This window comes from Homo sapiens, chromosome 12 (assembly GCF_000001405.40).
Source record: "Homo sapiens chromosome 12, GRCh38.p14 Primary Assembly".
Classification (NCBI taxonomy): Eukaryota; Metazoa; Chordata; class Mammalia; order Primates; family Hominidae; genus Homo; species Homo sapiens.
In genome coordinates this window covers 100,519,540-100,546,296 of record NC_000012.12, presented here as the reverse complement: position 1 = coordinate 100,546,296, position 26,757 = coordinate 100,519,540, and the positions used below count along the sequence as shown (strand labels likewise).

General features: G+C 39.2%; 1 protein-coding gene across 12 annotated transcripts in view, besides 2 other annotated features; it reads right to left on the bottom strand.

The window, feature by feature from the left end:
* Positions 1-26,757, bottom strand: part of NR1H4 (nuclear receptor subfamily 1 group H member 4) — a 90,549-nt gene that overhangs the window by 18,118 nt on the left and 45,674 nt on the right. For 4 of the 12 annotated variants that reach the window (NM_001206977.2, NM_001206979.2, XM_011539040.3 and 1 more), the window contains 5 exons: positions 13,687-13,839; positions 11,274-11,407; positions 9,687-9,785; positions 9,250-9,349; positions 5,479-5,625 (listed from right to left, as the gene is read on the bottom strand). In NM_001206977.2, coding sequence (NP_001193906.1) covers positions 5,479-5,625; positions 9,250-9,349; positions 9,687-9,785; positions 11,274-11,407; positions 13,687-13,839 — 633 coding nt within the window. Of the gene's footprint in view, positions 1-5,478; positions 5,626-9,249; positions 9,350-9,686; positions 9,791-11,273; positions 11,408-13,686; positions 13,840-26,757 lie in introns of those variants that run through there. The other 8 variants (XM_047429943.1, NM_005123.4, NM_001206992.2 and 5 more) reach the window with 4 other exon arrangements.
* Positions 6,799-6,999: a silencer, noted in NCBI's record as "peak1913 fragment used in MPRA reporter construct". NCBI's record gives its function as "represses an SCP1 promoter by STARR-seq MPRAs in K562 erythroleukemia cells {active_cell/tissue: K562}" and the evidence as "EXISTENCE:reporter gene assay evidence [ECO:0000049][PMID:32103011]".
* Positions 20,401-20,570: an enhancer, noted in NCBI's record as "experimental_22518 CRE fragment used in MPRA reporter constructs". NCBI's record gives its function as "activates a minimal promoter by MPRAs in K562 erythroleukemia cells, with activity observed for the introgressed 12:100919590 variant allele {active_cell/tissue: K562}" and the evidence as "EXISTENCE:reporter gene assay evidence [ECO:0000049][PMID:34662402]".

The following is a 26,757-nucleotide window of genomic DNA, read 5'->3' as shown; positions in this document are numbered from 1 at the left end:
GGGATTAACAGGGTCTAGGTCTGGCATAGAATTGATAATATCTACCTCAAAGTGCTACAAAGAGCAAACAATATTTTTCGTGAAGCAAAATGTTAGCCATGGAGATGACCCACTCAGATCACCCTTAAAGACAGCCCACAGTAGGGAGTCTGGCTGGCTGATAGCCTCCAGCTGCCGCCCTGTGAGTGCTGAGGACACACTTTCACCAGTCTTGTCTCAACTGGTGAATGAGCATAGTGGGTGTGTTAGTGCTTGTCCATTCAGTGGGCAGCTCGGACTAGGTCCCTCTCCAATGGCCTAGCTGAGACTTTCTCAGGACTGTGCTGTGATCTGATGCTCTTCATGCCCAATCATGCCTTCCTGCTCCACTTTCACAGGTGTCAGATCAGCATAGTAGTGTACAGTCTCCTGGACTCCACCTGCTTCCTCCCCCTTTATTCTTCAGAGGCATTTCCCCCAATTAACTTCTGACATATTTAGTCCCATGTTGATATCTGCTTCTTGTAGGACCCAAAGCTCACACAAACACTGATAATACAGCCTGACACACAGTAGGTGCTGAATAATTATCTTTCTGGTGCCGTAATTAATAGATCCAGACATTACGCATATATGCCCCCCGTTTGGTTTTTTTTTTTTTTTTTTTTTTTTTTTTGAGACAAGGTCTCACTCTGTCACCCAGGCTGGAGTACAGTGGCACAATCTCAGCTCACTGCAACCTCCACCTCCTGGGCTCTAGAGACCCTCCCACCTCAGCCTCTCAACTAGCTGAGATTACAGACTCATGCCACCATGCCCAGCTAATTTTTTTAACTTTTTTGTAAAGATGGAGTCTCGCTCTGTGGCTCAGGCTGGTCTCAAATTCCTGGGCTCAAGCAATCTTCCTGCCTTGGCCTCCCAAAGTGCTGGGATTGTAGGTGTGAGTCAGCATGCTCAGCCTTATATATGCCTTTCTATAAACATAATTCTCCTCTTAGTAGCCTTGTAAACTTTTTTGGAAGACTATTTTTCCCCTTTTAGCTGAACCACAGTGGAAGGGATTTTCCCCACCTCAGCCAGGCTGGGGAAGGAATCTGGTACTAACCCAGTGGTCATCATGGAAATGGCAGCATCTGACTTGGCTCAGGACCCAGGAGATCTGATGGAGCCAGGCAAAGATTTTTTTTTAAAGGAAGCTGAGCATCCAGGAGAGAAAAAGAGACAGAGAAAGAAAGATAGAACAACCACCAGATAATTCTCCTGCAGATGCCCTCTCATCAAAACATTTCAATTCATATGGCAGACATTGCACCCCTCTTTTTCATTGTCTGGCACCTGAATCAACTTTAAATGACTCATCTTTGAGGAGGAGGAGGAGAGAGAACACAACAGAACTTCCATATCCAAACTGTCTTTTTCCTTTTCTTACACTCAAATGCAAAAAAGATATCTGTTCCCCAAATTAACTACTACAGGCAATGTCTAGAAGAATGTTTAACCAACTTTTTGTTGGTTACTTGTTAGCTTTGGACATTAACAACTCTGATATTCAGGGAAACAACCATCTGAAAAGTAAATAAACAGACCAGTTTTATAGCTCCGGACAAACCTTCATTCATTTTTTTCGTTATTCCACAGAATTTTGTGGAGCACCCAGTCCAAGCCAGGCATGTGCTAGGTGCTTGGGATAAAATACTGACTCAAAAAGAAGAAAACCCTGTCTTATCAAGATTTTATTATCAAACTTGAGGCAAGACTGCAGAATAAATATTAAAGTTAAACATGATTTCAAAGAGATCAAATTGGTTATGAAGTCTATTTCAACAGCTTTAAAAAAATGGGACATGTAGCTAATAAGTAGTGGGGCCCATATTCAATCCAGATTCCACAGTCAGTATCCTTAATCACCACTGTCTCTTGATGAATAAACCAAACACACATTCCCTAGAGTAGAGACCTGTCAGTAAAATGAATAAGTTTTGTCATGAGTCATCATTCCTTTTTATTTTATTAGTTTTGTAAGAATTAGATTTGACTGATGGATTTTTTTTTTTTTTTTTTTTTGTGAGACCGAGTCTCACTCTGTCCCCCAGGCTGGAGTACAGTGGCGTGATCTCGGCTCACTGTAAGCTCCACCTCCTGGGTTCACGCCATTCTCCTGCCTCAGCCTCCCGAGTAGCTGGGACTACAGGCACCCGCCACCACGCCTGACTAATTGTTTGTATTTTTAGTAGAGACGGGGTTTCACCATGTTAGCCAGGATGGTCTCGATCTCCTGACCTTGTAATCCACCCGCCTTGGCCTCCCAAAGTGCTGGGATTAGAGGCGTGAGCCACCGCACCCGGCCAACTGGGATTTTCTTAAAGGGAGCACCGCCACAGTCCATGGAAGCCAGAATCAAATAAATGACAAAGCTAAGCTGCTGAACCTGTTGAAGCCATTGTAGTTTTCTGCATAAAGAGAGAACCACCAGTGTATGTTCAATAGTCTAAAACAACAATTATACCCATACATGTGAAAATTCAGCCTGTCCTTTAATTCTTTCCTAAGTTGAACTGTCAATTATTGATTATGGCTTTAAAATCAGGATACTTCAGTAGCTGGCCTAGTGACTAGCTAAACCACCCATCAGGAAAATTGAATTATTTAAGAGAGGAAAAGCAGTAAGACTTGTAGAACTGAATGGTGCCTTGGAGGTTACCTGATTCAACATTTTCCCCTTAGCCTGGACACACACACACACACACACACACACACAATCTGTCCAGAACCAAAATCCATATTTCTTGACAACATAATGTCTTTCAAAAGTTGATAAGCCACGAAGATATATCTCCCAGATCCTTTCTCTTCTCTCCATTTCTCCTGGCAGCAAGCGTGACATCTTTGAGACTTCTTGCCTCCTAAGAGGTGACTTCTGTTCTGGCTTACCCTAACACTGCTAGAAAATTTGTAAAGCTTAATTTTGACATTTTCCCTCCTCTGCTCAAAAATCTTCCATCTCTCCTATTACTTGGGAAATAACAAAATCATTAGCCCAGCATCCAAGGCCCTCAATCATCTGATTCTTTTATTCCTTTCTATTTCCCTTTAATGTAACCCTCAATTCAGTCAGCTCAGCTACTCACCCTTCTTTGTGTGCATTCCCTGAGCTTTCTTGCCTCTTTCTCTTTGCTCCTGCTGGTCCTTCTCTCTTGCACCCTGGATATCCAAATCAAATCTCATTCAAGTCCCAGCTCAAATGCCAATAAAACTTTTTCGGAGCTCTCTCAACTAGGAGTCATCATCTCTCTGTTTTTCTCTTCCATATTTTATCATAATCATGGACAGTTAATCTCTTCCCATTAGACTGTAAGCTTCTTAGGGGAAAGAACATGCTTGATTTCTCTCTTCACTGCTACCATAGTACCTTGCCCTTAAATATTTGTTAGACTAGTAAATTAATATATTAAGAATAATGCATCTTTTTAAAGTGTGTGGTTTTTAAATCTACCAATGATGCTAATTATGCTTTTTGTTTTTAACTAGGAAAAAAACATAATGACTATGGAGAAACTGCCTTTAAAAATAATTTTCCATTTAAAAAATTATTTCACTTATATCACAGATGCAGAACTACCTGAAAACTTTCCCTCTAATCTCTATCTTAAAATATCGGTTTTAAAAGTCTTTAAATTTGCTTTTGTTAATGATAAGACTTTAGAAAGAAAACATCCTGAGAAGTCATCTCATTCATTCCCCACTCCCAACCCATATATGAAATCTCTCGGGAAAATAAGAACTCATCCTATCTTAAGGATCTCCTAAGATAAATTGCACAGAATTCCTGGTAATTCATCTCAATGTCTCTTGAGCTTCCCTGTCACAGTGTTATTCCACAATAAGTTAAACACTGAGTAACTTGTGCTATTATCTCGTCTCTTGAGAGGTACTATAGCATAGTGGTTAAGACACAAAGCTTCTTTTTTTTTCAGACTGAGTCTCACTCTGTTGCCCAGGCTGGAGTGTGGTGGCACGATCTTGACTCACTGCAACCTCCATCTCCCAAGTTCAAGCAATTCTCCTGCCTCAGCTTCCTGAGTAACTGGGATTACAGGCACGTACTACCATGCCCAGCTAATTTTTTGTATTTTTAGTAGAGACGGAGTTTCACTATGTTGGCCAGGCTGGTCTTGAACTCCTGATTTCAAGTGATCCACCCCCCTCTGCCTCCCAAAGTTCTGGGATTATAGGCGTGAGCCACTGCATTGGGCTGACACAAAGCTTCTGAAGTCAGACTTCCTCTCTGTCATTGGGAAAGTTATTTAACCTTTCTCTGTCTCAGCTTTTCCATTTGAAAAATGGGAATGATAATAGTATTTATTCATAGAATATTTGAGAAGATTAGATGAAATCATATATTTAGAAAAGTGTCTGAAACCGGCTGGGTGTGGTGGCTCATGCCTTTAATCCTAGCACTTTGGGAGGCCGAGGTAGGTGGATCACTCGAGGCCAGGAGTCCAAGACCAGCCTGGCCAACATGGTGAAACCCTGTCTCTACTAAAAATACAAAAATTAGCTGGGTGTGATGGCATGCGCCTGTAGTCCCAGCTACTTGGGAAGCTGAAGCACAAAAAAATCACTTGAACCCAGGGGAAACTGGTGAGCCAAGAGCATGCCACTGCACTCTAGCCTAAGCAACAGAGCAAGATTCTGTCTCAAAAAAAAAAAAAGAAAAGAAAAAAAAAGTTAACTTTAGTCAGGCACGGTGGCTCACACCTGTAATCTCAGCACTTTGGAAGGCCAAGTCAGGCTGATCGCTTGAGACCAAGAGTTTGAGACCAGCTCGGGAAACATGGAGAAACTCTGTCTCTACTAAAAATACCAAAATTAGCTGGGTGTGGTAGTACATGCCTATAATCCTGGCTACTCGGGAGGCTGAGGCACAAGAATTGCTGGAACCTGGGAAACAGAGGCTGCAGTGAGCCGAGATCACACCACTACACTCCAGCCTGGGCAAAGAGCAAGACTGTGTCTAAAAAAAAAAAAGAAAGGAAGAAAAAAGAAAGAAAAGTGTCTGAGACCTAGTAAATGACATATAAATGTTGCTATTAAAATGTCTTCTTATTTTATTTTGATACAGATATATAATAGCTGGATACTTAGTCTTACATACCAGAAGATTTTAAATAATCTTTTTCTTGGCTGAAGAATCCTAGCTCCTTTGTGCTAGTTGTTCAAAATCAGATGAATTTTCCAATCTTTAAAAAAGTCTTCCTTTGGCTCTTCATCTTAGTGCAGTAAAGGGGTAGTTTTGCTACTTTGTTATTACAACAGAGATATTTGAACCAAGCCTCTAGAAGTCTTATCAATTTAACACATATCTTTTTAGAGCCATTCTTCATGCTAGGCACAACAGGCATATAACATTGCATAAGATTGGCAAGAGCCCCACCCTCATGAAGCACACCAATTTTACTCCTAGAAACAAACTCTTTTACCATTAGCCAAATCACTTACCACTATTTCGAATTCTTTCTTCCAATAGGTCAGAATGCCCAGACGGAAGTTTCTTATTGAAAATCTCAGCTGAACGAAGGAACATAGCTTCAACCGCAGACCCTTTCAGCAAAGCAATCTGGTCTTCATGGTCCAAAGTCTGAAATCCTAGGTAATGATGATAATCAAATTGGTATCAAGGAGTAACAATATTTCATGATCACCATCATTGCCATTGATAAAACATTTACATCAAGTGATTCTGTAGTTGTTTAAAATTGGGTAGTCTAGTTGAGTCCATTTGTACTCGCCAATAAAATAGAGGCTTTTATCTTCATTGAGCAGAATTTATTAAACAAGCTGGGCAAAGGGAGATGTCAAGTCCAAGTAGATACATATATTATGGCATAGATACACTGATTCAGATGAAGAAACCCTCAGAAACTAGACACAGGTAGATTTTCTTTGAGCCATTATGTTAGTCACACCTGATGTGACAGGGTCAACTCTGCAGATTGGAAGCATCTACAAGCCAGAAGAAAACTTTATATGCACCCAGAATATTTGGCTAACTCATGAGTCTTTAGTCAAGCTAAAGAACGGGTAGTATTTCCCAAAAACAGCCAACCAAAGTCATGTTGATGTATCTGCTCTGAACTCAGCACTGCGACACACAGGGTGGGGGAAAATCAGAAAAATATGGTAAGAATTGCCAACCTGATGGAATATAACACTCCCTGGAAAATTCAAAGTTGTTATCCAGGCTTAAATAGTACAGTCCCAACAGCTTCTCTGAACTCATTTTCTACTCCTCATTCCCTCTACTCTTTGTGTTCCAGCCACACTGACCACCTGGCCCTGCTGTGAACACACAAGCCTCTTTTTGCCTCAGAGATTAATGTTCTTCCCAGATAACCCCATGCCCCATGCCCTGCTCCTTCCTGCAATCAAGCCTCTGCTCCAGCATTCCCCAATCTAAAATACACTCCCCACCACTACTAGTCTCTACCTGCTTTATTTTAGTTTATAGAACTTATCACCACCCGACATGATATTATAGATTTATTTGCTTATTTGTTAATTGTCTGCCACCTCTACTGGAGTGTACATTTCTTGGGGGCAGAGGCCTTGTTTTTCTTTACTTTTGTATCCCCAGTTCCTGGCACATAATAGGTACCTAAGAATTATTTGTTGGATAATTGACAGATTGAATGAATGAATGGGAAACAAAACACAAGCTCATGTGCATGCTGGCACATACACTCACATGAATAGAGATAACACCATCAGGGCCTAAATGGCTTGGGAAGAACTAAATAGCAAAGGGAGTATAGAGAAGAGAGCAACGCTAAAAATTGAGCCACCATCCGAGAGAATCTAAGAGCTTCTTTGAGGAAAGGGGCCCTGTCTTATTGCCCTCAGGGACTCCAGCACCTTGGACAGTGCCTGGCACAGGTTGTGCTCAATGAATACTGAATGGAATGATTCAATTCAGTTTTTCACAAAATATCCCTTCAGTACTGGTATTATATCCCTATTGTTACTACTTGTAATAATGCTATCTCTGTCATTATTGTCAATTTTTTTCCTTCTCAAGGGTTTTTGCCTTTTATTTCTTTCCATATTTTAAATTTTTTCCTTCTGCTTTACTCATTGAACACACACTAATTGTACTTGCTCCCTCAGGAACGAGGCTAGGCACTGGGAATTAAGAGATGCCAAGATATTGCTATTGCTTTCAGATAAGCTACCTTCTTATGAATAAGGTTTTTATTTGTCTTCAATTATTTCTTGATTCAAAACCAACTGACCATTTGAACTTAAAAAATCTCTTCCCATAAATAACCAAAAATATCTCCTTTTTCCAGTTCTTTCCTCCACAGTTTTTACTCTTATATAATCCAGTTTTTTATTGAGCTTGCCTTCAGTTTAATTAGCATATAGTAAATTAAGTTCCTCTTTCATTGTTAATAAAGAAATGAGAGCATATTAGTGTTTCAATGATAGTGAGAAATTTCTCCTCACACTTTATGAGTTTTATGTAGGCTTATGTCTATCTGTGACACATTTAATAAAATAATAGCATAATGCTGGCAAAAAGAAGGCAAATTAACATGTTTAACTAAAATCCTATGTCAGAAGTTATCTTCTATAATTTAATATTATAGTATTATGCTGCTATACAAGGTATTTATTATACTCTTCTAGACTACGGGATTTCAATACACCAATATTTTAATAAACACTGAAACAACTAAAACCCATTAGCTTAGATAGCATTAATAATGTGGCAAAAAGAATTTGAGGCTGGGATATAAGAAGACTCCCACATTCTAGTTTCTATACTGGCACCATCAGAATGAGTGTGGATAAGTAAGTCCCTCTCCCTCACCTTACACATACAACTGTTCCTCAAGCCCTATCGATTTTTGAATCTCTCTTCTTTTTGTTTCTTCTTCTCTTCCCCACTGCTATTGCTTTATTTCAAGCCCTGTTGCCTGGACTTGTGCAGTAGCATACTACTTGATCTTCCCTGCCCCCAGACCCTTTCCATTCAAATTCATCTTACATGAACCTGATTAAGTCATTTCTGTATAACAAAAACTTCATTTCCCTCTGCTACAAAAACCACCGAAATCTCTTTACTGTCCAGGGTACACAGATTAAATTCCTTAGTTAGGCCTTCATCAGTCTGGTACCAACTTACCTTATTGTCTAACCTAGGAGCCCACCACAGACACTATACTATAACCACACTGAATTTTCTCTCCTATCTCAAATAATCCTATTCTTGTTCATGCCTCAGTGCCTTATAACAAGCAGATTTCTCGGCCAGACATGGTGGCTTGCGCCTGTAATCCCAGCACTTTGGCCAAGTCGGGCAGCTCACTTGAGGTCAGGAGTTTGAATTCAGCCTGTCCAATATGGTGAAACCCCATCTCTACTAAAAATACAAAAATTAGCTGGGCATGGTGGTGTGTGCCTGTAGTCCCAGCTACTCAGGAGACTGAGGCAGGAGAATTGCTTGAACTCGGGAAGCAGAGGTTGCAGTGAGCCAAGATCATGCCATTGCACTCCAGCCTGGGCAACAGAGCGAGACTCCGTCTCAAACAAAACAAAACAAAAACAAAAAAACAAGCAGATCTCTCAACTTGGAATGCTGCTGCTTCTCCATGCCAACTGGAAAACTTCTTTTTCTTTTAGACTCAACTCAAATATGATCCTCCCTGAAGTCTCTCCATCTTTCCTAGACACAATTAGCAACCAGTTCCTCTGTGTTCAAACAGCACTTCGTGTGTATGTGTATGTATGTGTATTTATCATTATTATTATCACCTTTGATCACTCTCCCTGAAGGTAATAGCCAGGCACTTAGTATAGAGTAGGTATCAACAATTGCTTATTGAAGGAATAAATGGGTGAATGACAACTTTGCAAAGTTTCAATTTTTAATCTATTGATTTGAAAGAATTATTATACATTATTTTAAATATCCTTTCTAGTTCTAATATCTTATGTCTATAGTAGTTCGACAGTTACTTTAAATCAGATATTAAATGATTTTCATTTTACAAAGAACAGACCTGCCTTTCTCAATGTCACAAGACTATTGTAGAGAATAGCAGTGAAATAAGTACATGTGAAAATACTTGGCAAAGTAATAGTGAAAATAGAGCTGATCTCACAGGAATGTTTTGAAAATTAAAACACCGTATGTAAAATAGGTAATCTAATCTGTGGGCACATATTTAAACTCTCAATAAATATTAACTTTGATTATTTAAAAAATACCTGGTAGCTTTTTTGTGAATTCTACAAGAACCTGTACATGATTGGTTGCCATTTCCGTCAAAATGAGAAAATTTTCTTCTGCACTGAATTCTTCTTTTAACTAAATTTTAAGAAAAAAACCAATGATTAAAAAGTAGATAAGAAAATGATAATATAAAACCATTAGACTAAAGAAAAACTAGGTTTAGATGATAAAATTTGAAAACCCATCTTACTATTTCTCAGATCTTTGGAGGGCAATTACCATTATCAAGATAGGTGGGAGACTTCATACTCTTGAATTGTTTAATGTTGCTGAGAGTTTAAAAGTCTAACTTGAATTCTCAGCTCTAATCATTTCAAAGTAACATATTCACATATAAATTATACCTCCAAGGCAATAAAAACTCCAGAAAATATTAACTTTAAACCCACATATTTTCAGATATTATACATACAATTTTATTTGTTATTTCCTGAGGCATCCTCTGTTTGTTATATGAATCCATAATAAAATGTAGAAGAGTCTGTTGATCTGGGGTGAGTTCAGTTTTCTCCTACACTGGCAAGAAAATAAAAGGTGTTAGGGAAGATGTGTATAAAGCCTTCTTTCTATATGTGCATTCATCTGGAGGGACCTAATAGCAGAAATCATAAAAAAAAAAAGGCATAAATACAGCAGGAACTATGAGTTCTAAGAGAGTGTATAATTTCTTTCTCTGGGTCCTCAGGCAGGCCATATCACATTTCACTGAATTTTCCTATCTATAAAATATGAATAACAAAATATTCCACTTGTGTATTTCTTAGGAATAAATGGTAGTCTGGATATGAAGACTATTGAGCCCATTCATATTGAAGGTCACTGAAAGTTCAAGCTTTAATTATAACTAATGAAAGGTTTTCATATAGTATGACTACTATGAATACTATATTCATATACTATTCTACATGAATTCCACCTGGTGAAGTCATCTGAGAGTATTCATGTGGAGGAGGGATCAACAAACTGTGGCCCATGGACCAAATCCATTGGATTTTATAAAGTTTTATTGGAACACAGTCACACTCATTTGTTTATGTATTGTCTCTGCTACTTTTGCACTAAAATGGCAGAGTTGAGTAGCTGTTGTAGATACCATGTGGCCAAAGCCCTTTAAAGAAAAAAAGTTTGTCAACCCCTAAAATAGAGAGTCAACAATCTGGACAATTCAGACCCCAAACATCTCTTTCTCCCTCTACAGCATCTTTTGAAGAGTGTGAATAATTATGTCAACTCTTTGTTTTCTTATACCAAAGTGTTACTGATGAAGCACTATGGCAAAATAATGCTTTCATATAAAATACTTTTTCTTAAATAAATACAAAAATACGTATTTGTAAAACTAAATGTGGATAAAGTTTTCTTTGTCAATAATGTAATAAATATTGAGAAGGGTGTGGTTTGGACAATCATAGCTTACTGGTTTTTCAGCTAATGGCAAAATAAAATTCCATCAAATGTCCTGTGCATTATCACAATGTGTGTGTCTAAACACCTTGGATGCTGTTCCCCTATTTTGTCCTAAGTTGCTCAATGGATTTCTTGAGAAATTTGTAACCCCAGTGGGTAGGACTTTTCTCTATTCATCCACATACGTGTATTCACCCTGTTTTACTCATTTATAAGGATTAATCCACAGCCTCTATTGAGACCATGTTCTTCCCAGTTTGAGACTGTCTTCTCAAAAAGAGGGAAAAAATGGTCATCAATACTCAGTTGGAAAAAATCCATTTTATACACCAAATCATTTCTGCTGGCAAACACTAGGTAGTAGGACTGGAATGGAGTCAGAGAGAAGGAAAACTTTCACTTTTTAGTTTATGCATTGCTACTATTTGAATGTTTACATCAAAGCATGTATTAGGAATCCATTTTAATGAACAATTGGACTAGAAATTCAGCTGTGCCTGTGGCTTTAATTTGAAAGCCTCCTGGCCAGCTCACTATGTACCTAGAAACTCAGTTCCTGCCAGTCTTGGCAGACACCATTGCATATTATTACCCTGCATGACTTTGTTGTCGAGGTCACTTGTCGCAAGTCACGACCTTCACTGTCTTCATTCACGGTCTGATCTGCATGCTGCTTCACATTTTTTCTCAGTCGCTTAGATTTACACTGAATTTCAGTTAACAAGCCTAAAACAAATAAGCATAGAGACTTCACCAATCACAGAAAGTACTGTTGGGTGTGTGGTCATAAAACCACTGATATGTACCTGGCCCAGAAGATCCCCTATGCAATGGCACAGAACTAACGCTAGCCTTTTATGCATTTTAGAAAGGGAAGGCCAAGGTTTGAGACTTAACCTTGAACAAGTAGTTTAACCTCTGTGAGTCTCAGTTTCCTCATTTGTAAAATGGGAATAATATCTACCTCATAGAGTTTTGTGTAGATTAAAAGCAATAATCTACACAAAATAAAAGCAATAATCATTTTTAAATGAGCTTTATATAAAGAACTTGTGATATGAAAGCATTGTACAAATGCAAGGGATTCAGTCAATGAAAAGGTGAATGACACTCTCCCTGTTCCTGCTCTAGGGGACTGTGAAAATTGGTGTTTTAAAACATGCCATTAATATTATTTTCATCCATGTTTACATACTGTACCAGAAGAAGGATATTGAATTTCACATTAAATACATATAAACTTATTGAGAAAAACAAATGTTAACATCCTTTAGGGAAATTTTTAAAATCCTGTTAATTTTAAGAACAGTGCCAATTCCTGAGAATACAGTTAAAAATAAAAATAATACAAGGTGACTTTTAAAATGTCTTTGAATGATCATACAATCAACCTCATTGATTTACACTTAAAGAGAGCTATTAAGGCCGGGCGCGGTGGCTCACGCCTGTAATCCCAGCACTTTGGGAGGCCGAGGCGGGTGGATGAGGTCAGGAGATCGAGACCATCCTGGCTAACAAGGTGAAACCCCGTCTCTACTAAAAATACAAAAAATTAGCCGGGCGCAGTGGCGGGCGCCTGTAGTCCCAGCTACTCGGGAGGCTGAGGCAGGAGAATGGCGTGAACCCGGGAAGCGGAGCTTGCAGTGAGCCGAGATTGCGCCACTGCAGTCCGCAGTCCGGCCTGGGCGACAGAGCGAGACTCCGTCTCAACAAAAAAAAAAAAAAGAGAGCTATTAAAAATAATGTAAAACAATCTTCCCTTCATCCCATTTAACGTCCTTACTCTTTTCTCAATGCCAATAAAACAAAGTTCCAGGAATTTCTTTGTACAGGGAATTTATTTTATAGAACCATGAAATATCCGCATCTGTTACTGGATGAGTTTGTGTTCATAAATATTATAGACTGCTATATGTGGCTTCATGCAAAATGTCCTCAGCGCTCCAGCTGGAACAAGTTCATATTTAAGTGATGAGCTATATGAGCTGTGCAGTGTCAGAGTAAGTGTTTCCATTGCAAGATTGGATTCCAGCAGCAGCCCCTATTGCAGGTTCTCATTTCATGTATGCTAAGATGAGATTGTGATCAGCTACTATAAAATTTTCATCCACCCAGAGCTGGATTATTTACACAGACCTATTTTCCCCCAACCTGCATGCATTATTTCCCTGGGTCCATCCCAGTTGCCCGTACAGTTTGGTAACAATAGAACTGGAGTCACCTTCTGAAGGCTTTTATTTCATTTGGCATTCCCTGCCTGAATGCTGTCATCCCCTTGGTGACATTTGTCTATTTGTGTTTTGAGGAGAAACAGGACATATCTCAGAATCTGAGTGGTCTGTAGAATTTGCAGAATGAAAAATTAATTATGTTATATACTAGCATGCATTCCAATTTTTGATGAAGATTACAGTTCCTCACAAAGCCAGCAGTTAATACAGTGTCTCTTTATCAGATAGAAAGACAAAATTATATTAAAACTGGGAGTAGTTAATTTCCTGTGTAAACCTATACAAATTGGTTCAAAGCTGCACTAAGAGAAGACAGATCCTTAATAAAATGACTTGGTTTAGAACTCTATTTAGACAATTCAGAGGCAGTTATACCTTATAAAGCATTCTCATTTTTTTCCACAATAGTGAATTTGTATGCTAATTAAGCAATAAATAATAAGTATATTAAAATCAAATTTAGAGGAAACTTTTAGATGTCATTCGTAGCTCATTAAAGCACATTATTTGAATGGTATGTTAATGCCACTGGGCTCCATGTATAGTTCACTGCGACAAAGAAAAACAACAAAAAAAACCCATTTCTTTCGGGTGACTAAAATGCTCTTTAGTTGACAGTTTGGACAATTTCAGTGGTTCATTACCCTTTTCAAGAACTTAGATGGCTTAGTAGGTTCCTTCTTTAATATGTGAAGTAGCACTCTCGTGATGAGTTACCTGACATCTGCCTCCTTAAGAGATTTTTAGTGAAATGTAATTGCTTGAAGTGAATACCTGTATACATACATTCAGCCAACATTCCCATCTCTTTGCATTTCCTTAGTCGACACTCTTGACACTTTCTTCGCATGTACATATCCATCACACAGTTGCCCCCGTTTTTACACTTGTACACAGCGTTTTTGGTAATGCTTCTCCTGAAGAAACCTGTGGGAGAAACACTGAAAAGTGTAAAAAGTCCTCTCACAGCTTCTCAGGAAAAAAACAGGTTTGGATTGAGAGATGCCAGGACATTTTCTCACCAACTGCTGGAGAGCACCCAGGCCATCCTTGAGCACACCAGTGACAAATACTTTATGTGACATTGTGTTGTTGAGAAGCCTGTTGTTTTTAATTTATCTCTCAGAAATAAAGACAAATTTGAATTATAGCCTCTCTTAGGAAAAATGTGAATTTGTTTTCTAAGACAAATTACTTTCATAGATCTTTATTGGGGGACAATTCTATGCCAGTGAGCACTAAGTGCAGAGGGTACAAAGGCAAACAATTCACCCCTGGGCTCCAAGAGTTTAAAGGCTGGCTGAGGACAAAGACGCACAAACAACTAAACAAGTGAAATTACATGTTGCCTGGGCTCTAAAAGCTGCACTGCGGCAGAGCAGACACACAGATTCCTCAGTTTGGGATGAAGAGGTCAGGATAGGGAGTGAGCACTGAGCTAAGTTTTGGAAAGTGAGTTGCTGTTAACCAGGCATTCAGGGAGAAAATCGCATTCAAGGTTTCAATTCAGTACTTTATATGCCAGCCTGGCATAATAATAAAAATGCCAACCTTGAGCTAAAAGCAACCATCTCCCCCGAGAAGGTATAGCACAGCTGCAGCCTGTTAACAGGTAAGATGCCTAGAGTGAAGAAGGGAGGTAACCGACTTCAACTCTGCTGCTCCATTTCCCCACTTTCTGCTTTCTCCTCCATCTGACTAACCACAGTTCCTGACACTTTCAGAGTCAAGGAGGCAGTGTTGAATTCAGGAGAGGATTGTGAGAGGTAAGAGAAGAAATGACAGGAAGGCAGTTACTCGCCTAGTATTTCTGTAAGCTGGTTTGTGCATAGCAAGTTTTCAAAGTTGTCTCTTTCTCCATTGGGTTGGGTTGTTTAGAGACCTCTCATCTTCGGGATACTTTCATCTGAACTTTGTTTTTTGTTTTTTTGAGACAGAGTCTTGTTCTGTCGCCCAGGCTGGAGTGCAGTGGCACAATCTCAGCTCATGCAGTCTCTGCCTCCCAGGTTCAATGGATTCTCCTGCCTCACCCTCTGGAGCAGCTAGGATGACAGGCGCCGCCCACCGCGGCCGACTAATTTTTGTATTTTTAGTAGAGATGGGGTTTCACCATGTTGGCCAGGCTGGTCTCAAACTCCTGACCTTAAGTGATCTGCCCGCCTCAGCCTCCCAAAGTGCTGGGATTACAGGCATGAGCCACCACGCCCAGCCTCATCTGAACTTTTTTGATGAGGGCAAATACATATCTATTCTAGCCCATGGTATGTGTCTCCTTCAACATCTAGGAATCTGGCGATTCACTCCACAATTTTTACACTGAGGTCACTCTATGTGGTTCTCTTCACATGGACCTAAGATAACCCCATAATGGCTTTCTCTGATCTAACAATCTCTGTGGAGCAGAGAAATCTCTCCCATTTATCCATGAGCAGTCAGCCACCCGGCTTCCTGCCTTTCAACTTCTCGGGTGAAAGTGAGACACAAAGTCCCCATGTCTGTCAGCTTCAGGGGATACATGTCAACCTACTCAAGTGATCGTCTTGAAGACTCTTTCATTGGGCTTGGGGCAACAGGACCTCTTTAGTATACATTTTGGGGGCATGAGGGGACACCATTTTCCAATTCTCACAAAGTTACTACACGTTCCAGTGGTGGCCCGAGGGACAGACACTCCCATTTCCAACATTCTCCTTTGCAGTAGGGATGTAAGATTCACACAGCACACTAGTCACATGCTCCAAAATCTTTATAAGACCTCTCTATAATTTCCAACTCCTGATCTCTTCATTCCCTCAAAATAAGTGAGATGTTTAACTGGTTCTTGAATATCCACTGTGAAATTTCTGCCAGATGGGCTCACCTTGGAATGTAGCATCTAGTGTCTTCATGTCTCTGTCAAAATTGAGAGGAGTCCTTCCTATTTTAACAGACTGTTGGAATAATATCTAACATTTATTAAGCACCTAGTAGCTATTGTTTGAGCTACTTTACCTCCATTTACTGATGTAATTCTTATATCAATTTTATGATGAAGATAGTATTATTTGTCCCCATATTATAGATGAAGAAAAAAAGGTACAGAGAGTTTAAGTATCTTGGCCATGATCACATGGTTAGTAGTTGGCTAGGAAGGTTCAAACCCAGGCAGTCATGCACTAAAGCCTGTACTCTTTACTATCTTGCAATTGCCACCCTTGGGTTACAAGAGAGTAAAATAGTTTACTGTTAAGTACCAACTATCTGAAAGCTGCATTCTCTGACCTGGGAAATACCAAGATGAATAAGACATTCCTTGTCTTCAGAGTTGCATACTTAGTTGGAATAAACAGAAGTAAATTTACAGCATAATATAAAATATGAGTGATGAGATAGCTAAACAAGGAATAAATTATTGAAATGTAGAAGCAGGTCCACACCATATGCTTGTAAAGATTGTGCCACATTTAAGGAGGAGAGGCAGCAATTACACTGCACCCATGTAGAGCTGCATATTTCTTATGACAATTTTCCAGCAGAAGGCACTTAAAAATTGTTCTAGCAAGATAAGTATAATATGAGGATTTCCCAACTGCTAGAAGTCAAGCGCCCCGAAGAAAAGGCATTGTATAGACTGGGAGTGAACCTGATTAATTAAGAGTAGCCAGAATCAGGGAGGGGTCCATGAAGGAAATAGAATTTGATCTGGGCTTTGAAGAATAAGTAAGGTTTTAGAAACATGGACCATGAGGGAGGAAAGACATTCGGAAAAATGAGCAAACACAGGGTGTTATGAAAATTCCAAGAAAGGGTAGATACTCCATCTTGGTGGCGGTTGGGTAGAGTATGGAGAGAATTAGTGGGAGATGGGTAAGCAGTTGTAACAGGAACAGAATGTGATTAAGTGTCCTTGAATGCCAAGCAAAGGAGTTGAGTCTTTACCATGTTGAAAGAGGGAAGCCATTAAAGGCTTTGACAGGGGACAGTATGACCTAACCTGTATGTTGGGAAGCTCCTCGGAGCAAGGTAAAGGTGGAACGCGTATTGGAGACTAGAGAGAGGAGACTATTGCCATAATACAACTGAGAGGCTACCAATGCCTGAACTAAAGTGGGACAGAAGAGAAAGGAGGAAACAGAGAGAACATCAGGTTTTGGTAACTCATGAAATATGAAAACAGAGGCTGAAGGAAAAGTTAGAGATGTCAAGGTTAAGAAAGTCATGGACTTGCTTGTGAATTTTTCAGCTGGTGTAAATTTCAGTAGGAAAGATCTTAACATTTTTCTAAATGTCAAATCCAACCAAATAAAGTCTAAAAAAAGACTTTGTGCTGCAGATCAGTGTTGATATTGAGAGTGCAAATACCAAAGCATGCATTTTAAGAGACTAAAAGCAAAAAGAGGACTTTTTCTTTCCTGGTACCAAATCATGACCTCAATGTCCACTTGAGCCTACATGAGTCAGCCTTCCTACTAATAATCTTCTACCCCTCCCAGGAATGATTTCCTTTAAAACTGTCATAGATACTGATAGACAGCTTAATAGTTAACAGAATAAAGGTCTTTCTTCCAAGATGAGTCAAAGGAACAGTGCGTAGAACCATTCTGCAGGGTTTTTTGACTCTGGTATTAACTGAAAAAGAAATCATTATCATCTCAATAGCTGAATTAATTAGCTTTCACTCTGAATAGCAACACAATATTATCATTATATCATTTAAATATGGGTACATATACTGTATTTATACTTATGCAAATCTATCCATACACATACCTCTGCCTCTTTCTTGTGCATATTCAACAATGCTCATATCAGAAAAGTCATTTGAAAATGAATGGAAAGGAAATTCACTGAGGAACAGAGCCTTGCTGGTAATACAGGATAAGTAGACAGGGTTGGCATTGCCATCTGGGGAATGTGTAGCACCAATGGGATCCCTGGGGTAGCAAGAAAATAGCTATAGGATGGTACTTTTACATGGATTCCTCGATTCTGCAGAATATTGCACACTGCTTTTCTGCCTCTTTTTTTTTTTTCTTTCCCAGATGGAGCCTCACTCTGTTGCCCAGGCTGAAGTGCAGTGGCGTGATCTCAGCTCACTGCAACCTCTGCTTCCTGAGTTCAGGCACTTCTCATGCTTCTTTATACTGGTAGAAGCCACATACCACACCCTATTCTCAAGTCATACACATATATGTGTACATACACATGCACGTGCCAGACTCCAGTGACTGATACTGATAGCCACTGGTAGTAGGCCACCCATTACTTTGCAATCAATAAAATATTGGTTGATGTTGTAAAACTTTAAGGGTCTACAGGCTTTTAAAATAGCAGCAAACACACAGAGGTGAGTAACTAGAGATCCTTCCATTCAAGATGACCTAAATAGAGACAGCTTCTAGGTCTGTCTCCGCTTATACAGCACTTATTTTGTGCCAGGCACTGTTCTAAAATGGTAAATGGCAATTCATTTCCTATTCATAACAATCCAATGAGGCAGATACTACTATTATCTCTTTCTTTTTTTTTATTATTATACTTTAAGTTTTAGGGATAATATACAGCCATAAAAAATGATGAGTTCATGTCCTTTGTAGGGACATGGATGAAGCTGGAAACCATCATTCTCAGCAAACGATCGCAAGGACAAAAAACCAAACACCATATGTTCTCACTCATAGGTGGGAATTGAACAATGAGAACACATGCACACAGGAAGGGGAACATCACATACTATTATCTCTTTCTTACCAAAGAGGAGACTGAGTTACAAAGAAGTTAATTTGCTCAAGGTCCTGCAGAGAGCAAATGGTAGAGTTTAGATGTGAACCTTGATAAGCTCACACCCTACACTCTTTTTATTTCCTATTTTTTTAGACAAGGTCTTGCTCTGTCGCCCAGGGTGGATTGCATGGTGCAATCATAGCTCACTGCAACCTCAAACTCCTGGGCTCAAGCGATCCTCTCACCTCAGCCTCCTGAGTAGCTGGGACTATGGGTGTACCCCACCATGCCCAGCTATTAATAATTTTTAATTTTTTATAGAGACTGAGTCTAGCTATGTTGTCCAGGCAGGTCTCTCACTCCTGGGCTCAAGCAATCCTCCTGCCTCAACCTCCCAAACTGTTGGGATTACAGGCATGAGCCACTGTGCCCACCTGACTCTGTGCTCTTAACCACTGCCTTATGCTGTCCTTTTAGTAGGAAGTTTACATTTTTAAAAATTATCTTGAGACATGAATCTACCCAGGTTTTACACAGCATGGCAAGTGCCCAGCCCATAACAAATTTGTTACCGTCCCCAGTTTGAGTTCATAAATGATTGTTTTGCAATAATTGTAGGAGCATTAAGATGAAAGGATAACTGATCAAGGTATTTATGTGTGCTTTTTTCTTGCTTCTATTGCTTTTTCATTTTCTTTTCCATCCCAAGAGGGCGGAAACTCTTGTTCACTTGCTGGGACAAAAGCTGCAATTTTTCTGTCTCTAAATAAAGATAACTCTCACATAGGATTTTTGTTTTCGACCTCTCTTTGAAACGGTTATATTGCATCATCTCAAAGGTGTTGGAGGTGAAGGGCAATGCTTGTAGAATTGGGAATGGGATGAGTCTGGGAGGTTCTGTGAGTATTGAACCAGCACTAATAAAGAGCTTCTAGAGGAGTGACAGATCTCTAATGATGTAGCTCTGAGACAAGGACAGGAAGATACTAAGAACCATGGCCTTGAAAACCCTGGGGTAAGATGTCCATGCTGGACTGTGGCTGAGTTGTTCACTTTGAAGGGACCAATTCAAAGTTGAACATGATCCTGAGGTTTGCGCACGATCCTGGAGGAAGGAGTATTCTCAAACATAGACCAGATGAATTTCACATCAGCCGGGAGAGTTGTGAGCTTAGAAGAGATTAACTTTGATTTAGAGAAATATAGGAATATAACATATCTTACATCACAAAGGTTTCTAAAAGGTTACACATAATGCAAATAGAAGACATAGAGGTGACTACTTAAAGAACTAAGTGAAAATGAACTAAAGGGAAATGAAAATACAATTTATCAAAATTTATGGGATGTGACAAAAGCAGTGTTTACAGAGAAATTTATAGCATTAAAATGCATATATTGATTAAGATCTAAAATCAATAATCTAAGCTTCCACTTTAGGAAACTAGAAAAGAACAAATTAAATCCAAAATAAGCAAAAAAAAAAAATACTTAAAATTAGAGCAGAGATCAATGAAATTGAAAGTAAGAAAATGATAGAGAAAAACCAGTGAAACCAAAAGCTGGTTCTTTAAATAGATCAATAAAAATTAATAGAGTCAATAAAATAGATCTATAAAATTAATAAGGCTAGGCTAACCAAGCCCAGCAAGGCTAACCAAGAAAAAAGAGAGAGAGAAGACACAAATTACCAATATCAGAAATGAAGGAGAGGCCCATCGTTACTAATCCCATGGACATTAAAAGAAAAATAAAGAAATATGAACAACTCCAAGCCTGCTAATTTGCTAACTTAGATGAAATTCCTGGAAAGACATACCCTACCAAAACTCAACAAGGAGAAATTGGTCATCAAAATAGGCCTATACTATTAAAGAAATTGAATCAATAATGAATAACCTAAAACAGAAAGCAACAGGCCCAGATGGTCTCACTGGTTTATTCTGTCAAGCATTTAAAGAAGAAATGATACCAATTCTGTACAATCTTTTCCAGAAAATAGAAGCAGAGGGAACACTTTCTAACTTATTTTATGAGGCCAGCATTACCCTAATACCAAAACTATACAAAGACTTTGTAAGAATTTTTTCTCATTTTTCTTTTTAAATTTAGTGTGTTAGCATTTGTTTTTGTTTATTTTTATTTTTCTCTGGCATTGTGTTTTGATTTCATTATAAAGATTAGGTCATCAGGTGGATTTTGGAAGTTATATTCTTTTGACATGATTTGGACCAAGCTTTTAATCAGCTTTTCCCAAATTTAAGCCTACCTCGGGACACCTTGACTCCAAGCCCTATCTCCAACGTACTGCAGGACCTCTCAGGCATCTCTGCTGAGGATACCCATATTGGCAACTACTGGCTCATCACGACCATCAACCAGGGTAACTTGGTCACCATGCAGTTGGCCTGACACACCCTAACTAGGAAAGAGGTAGCTGTGCAGATCATTGATAAGACAAAATGGAACTCCTTCAGACTCCAGAGACTGTACAAGAACTGCATGCTGCTGTGCATGCAGCCACAGTGGGACCAAGAGAACTCAGTACAGTGGAAGATGGAGGTGTGAAAATTGCTTTGGAGATATCTCAAGAAGTTTCCATTTAAGCATATATCCCAGACTTCCAAGTCTTTTAAAAGCATCGTCTCCAAAATAACTGATGAGTTTAAGCTTTAAAAGGCTGCCAAGAGCCACCTGGGAGACAAGAGGAGGGGCTGGCCATCTTCCCCATATCCCCAAGACTTCCACCTCAACACTCCCTCTTCAAAACTGCAGAGATTGGAGAGGTGTGTCCCCCAGGGCATTTCTTCCCACCAGCCCCTTCTTTTTTTCTTCCATGTTTGTTGGGAGGGAAGATGGTACTACAGAAATAAATAAAGACTATCCACACAACAAAGAAAGAAACAATAAAATACAAAAAGCAAAGAAAACTGAAGTGGTTCTTAGGGGTTGCCTCTAGGAGCAGTTGAAGAGGGTAGGAGTGGGGCTTTTTTCTAATGATATGCCCTTCTTACCATTTGACTTTGGAATCACATGCACTCATTTCTTTGACAAAATGCTTATTAAGTGATGAAGGAGGCTAAAGGAGTAGAAAGCAAAAACCCACTGACACCATCAGACCTACTGGGTTTCTGCTGAGAGGATGAGGACAGGGGTTATGATGAGGACAGCCAAGCTGTGCTGGAGTTTGGCTTTGGATACCTTCAGTGACCATTTAAAGTGCCAGGTAGGCAAACCCCCAGAAGCTAGTGGCCCACAGTGACCGGCACCTGGTCCCCAGCATCTTCCCTGAGGTTCCTAGGGGTGTTCTGGGTTTCTAATAGGTGAATTCCAGCACTGGGAGGTGCCTGATGCTGCTCGTAGCTACCTGAGCCCAAGTGAATTCGTTTGCTCTGTGGGGTTAAACCTTTCACCTCCAAACTGCTGCTTAAATGCCTATTTCCATTTTTTTCTTGAGTGTAGATTTATAACTTTTCTCATTTAGTAATTTATGCTTTAAGACGTTTCTTTTAACCACTACTTATACATATTGCTTATATGTTTGCTTTAAACATTTTTTCTTGTTTAAATTTAGTTTTTATCATCTTAGTTTGTCTTGCCTCATCACCTATATGTTTATGTGAAATGTCAGTTCATATTCCCTGGAAATCATTTTATTACCATTGCATTTTTCTACGTATTCTTTTCGATACTCTTTTACTGATTTTATATTTCTTAATCTTTTTGTTTGCTTGACTGTTTTCTCTTTTTGTCTATTTTAGCTGAGTTATGTAGACTATTTTTCTGCTTTTGCTTTAGAATGGTGACTATGAAGGCAAGAATTTGGTCTGGTTTGCTCACCAAGGCATCTCCTATGCTTAGAATAGACTCCGGCATACAAACTGGTACTTAATAATATTTGCTGAATAAAGAATTGGGTTAACTAATAGGAAGAGGGAGAGTTTTGAAAACAGTGTATGACCCAGACTGGGGAGGTTGAATGAACAGAGGAATAACAAATAAGAATTCACCAACAAAATCACATCTAATGATTACTGAGCATGTAAGAGTGCCAGGTACATCAAGACTAAAACCCCAAAAACAAATGCAACAAAAACAAACAAATAAATAAATGGGACCTGATTAAACTAAAAAGATTCTACACAGCAAAATAAATAATCATCAGAGTGAACAGACAACCCACAGAATGGGATAAAATATTTGCAAACTATGCATCTGACAAAGTACTAGTATCCAGAATCTATAAGAAACTCAATAAATCAGCAAGGGAAAAATCAAGTAATCTCATCAAAAAGTGGACAAATGACATGAATAGACATTTCTCAAAAGAACACATACAAATGGCCAAAAAACACATGAAAACATGTTCAGTATCACTAATCATTGGGGAAATGCAAATTAAAATGACAATGAGATACTACCTTACTCCTGCAAGAATGCCCATTTTTAAAAAGTCAAAAAATAATAGATTTTGGTGTGGATGTAGTGAAAGGGGAATGCTTTTCACTGTTGGTGAGAATGTAAATTAGTACAACCTCTATGGAAAACGTTATGGAGATTTCTTAAAGAACTGAAAGTAGATCTACCATTCGATCCAGCAATCCCACTAGTGAGTGTCTACCCAAAGGAAAAAAAGTAATTAGATAAAAAGACACATGCATATGTATGTTTATTGCAACCCAATTCACAATTGCAAAGATATAGAACCAATCTAAGTGCCCATCAACCAATGAGTGGATAAAGAAACTGTGGTATATATACACCATGGAATACCATTCAGCCATAAAAAGGAATGAAATAATGTCTTTTGCAGCAACTTGGGTAGAGCAGAAGGCCATTATTCTAAGTGAAGTAACTCAGGAATGGAAAACCAAATGCCATGTGTTCCCACTTACAAGTGGGACCTAAGCTATCAGTAAGCAAAGGTATACAGAGTGTATAATAGACTTCAGAGACTCAAAAGGGAGGAGGGGAGAAAAGTGTGGGATAAAAAACTACATATTGGATAAAATGTATACACTCTGGTGACAGGTACAACAAAATCTCAGAATTCATCACTATACAAGTCATTCATGTAACAAAAAACCATTTGTACGACTGTACCCCCAAAAGCTATTGAAATCTAAAAAAAAAAAAACTTTTTAAAAAGAGTGCCAGGTACAGAGCTAGATATTTTAAAAATAATATCCCATTTTTTTAAATTCACAACAACCCAATGATAATAGTAATAATAGCAGGCAATGATTGAGGATTTTCCATTGGGAAGAACTCTGTTAAGTACTTTACAGGTATCAATTTATTTAATCCTCATGACAATCTACAGATACCTGCTTCAAAAGACTGTCCTGAAGATTAAACAAATTAGTACATATAAAGCCTCCCAGAACAGTGCCTGCACATAGTAATCACTTGATATAGATTATCTATCAACATGATTATTACTATCATCATCATCACATCACCAACATTACCATAATTACCATCATCATCACCATCACCATCATCATCATTATCACCACCACCATCACCATCACCATCACCATTATCATCATCACCATCATCATCATCATCTCCTCATCTTTATCTCATCTTCATTGTTGTCCTTATCTTACAGGTGGGGAGTCTAAAGATCAGAAAGGTTAAGTAATTTAGGACACCTGGGAAGAGAATCAGCTGGGATTGGAAAGCATGTTGTTTGCCTTCAGGGTCCTACTCTTCCCACGATTTTCATAACACTTACTACAAAAGGGTTCCAATGCAGTGAAATAGTTTGGAACCCCATCTTGCATCATACTCCAAGATAATTTGACCTCTAGAATTCATTAGGATCATTATTAAATTGTATAAAATCAGACCTTGCTTGATCTTAAATAGGATGTCAATAAGTTTATATATAGGTCAGCACTCCTCAGCTTTCACAAATGTCCATAAACAAAGGATCCTTTGGAAACACTACATCTATTCTATACTGGAATAGTTTCAATACTTTTGGAAGCTTTTTTAAAACTTCAGACCTAAGTCTAATGCTGGTTCACAATCCTACACAAAAATATATTCAGAAAGGCAGTAGGGTCACTCATTTACTCAGACAGCATCTTTTAGGAATTCTACCATTCTCGGATGTGTGAAGACTCTCTTGGCATTGAAACAAATGTGACAGACACTGACCTATTTGGAAATGCAGCCATTTGAAATTTTCAGTTAGATGCTGATCAGTTTTGTTGGTTGAGGTTTGAGGTTTGAATCAAAATTCATTCAGACATTAGCACATTTCCATATGCTGCACTGATAACTGAGGGCAAAAGAAAGCTCTTGATTTAATCTAGTCCTGAGAAAGTGGCAGTCATTGTCATTCTGCGTGATGCTTGTGTTCCCAAGTTATTACTTACAAAAATTGAAAACCATCATTTCTCTCATTGATGCTATAAATACTTATGACAAATAAAACACTGAGACAAATTAAAATATTTTTAGTGGAACCAGAAAAAGAGACCAATGTAATGAGGAAATTTAACCCTGATCTTTGTTTTGTTTCTAAGGTTGCTTTTTTTTTTTAAATTCTCTTGTGTTTTCTTTGTTTGTTTTAAGTATCACAGGACTGACAAATCTTCAGTGAAATACTAAAGCAAGAGAGCTGGTAAATTCTAATATATAATATAATGTAATATAAATCTTGTACAATCCACACAAATGTCCCACAAAATAGATAATATCCCTATTTTGCAGATCTGAGGCTCAGAGGAATAAATATTGCACGGTCTTAAGAATTCGCTAGCTTTATATCTTCTGCACCTCCCTTCTAGTCTAGTGCACATCCTATTACCAGAGAGGCAGGAAAGTAGAACATAACCTTGCCCAGACTTCCTTCGCAGCTAACATGGTGGATATGATTTAAGCTCTCCCATAGAGATGCCCTTGTAAGACTTTTGGAAAGGAGAAGCAAGCTGTTCTTCCGTTGTTTCTACTGGTAAGCGGGATTGTGGAGTTTTGCTGTGGCAGCACTCTGGCTTCCAGTCACTAGCTTTGAGGGTATTGAAAGGCAGGGGACAGGGTATTCATTGTTTGCAGGTGCAGATTTGGCAGGCAAGCCCCGTCTCTGGAGTTAGTGATTGCCAGTGAAGGCAACTTCCTGATCCCTAGATGGCAGCTGAGGTGGTGTCTTCCTGGAGCCAACAGTCCTGAGGTGGCTTCCTGAGTCCCCATCTTCTTGATTTTGGCAGAAAAGCAACCGGCGGGCCAGTTCTGCAGTGTGGCTCTGAGCATCTCCCAGAAACTTAGCATAGATCCTGTTACTCTGACTCTTCCAACTTCTGTATTAATTCTTTTCTGCTTGAATTGTTGGTTTCTGTTTTATTTTGCTGAACTCTAACCAGTAAATATTAAGTAACTTGTTTATTCAGCCAAGAAGTGCAGAGCCTAGATTCAATGTGAGCTTGTCAGCCCGCAAAGCCCGTGCTCCCTTTGATGGAAAGTTACAGAGTATAATTCGCTTTGCATCTGCTGAGTGCAGATATCAAGAGATGTGCATGGGGGAAGTGGGCTGCGGGGTCAGCGGGGAAACCAGGTTGGCTGAGCAGCTCTCACAAGACCTGCAGGCATGAGGCATTGGTCCTCTGATATGCATTCCACTCTATTCTGTCCTTCTCCTCTGGTTTTCCTCACAGCCCTTCCTCATTCCTCCATTCACTAAGGTAGGATAATTTTCATTTGTTTTCACAGGAGAACACATAAGGAAGATAAAGGAGCCTGTTTTTGGCTTTTCAGACGCCAGAGCTTAAGCCCCCAATCCTGAAGACCAGATAAAACTTATTCAAGTCGGGAGGAAGCAGACAACTAAAGGGGAAGTCAAAGAGCTAAGACATGTTAGGTACCTGAGAAGGTCCTGAGCTCTGTCCCTCCCAACTCCCTATCCCCAGACAGAATCCTAGGATAGGTGGATTGAGAGATTATAGAAACTCCACGTCATTTGGGATCCTGGAAGACGAGGATTCTTATGCCCTTTCCTGGGTAGAACTGGAGAAACCCCCAGGGTTCTCTGCACCCAGCATGGCATAGAGCAGATGAAATGGCAGCATGGTTTCTCTGGGAAGCCAGGCATCCCAACACAGCACTGATGCAACATCAGAACCCACCCACCTGAGC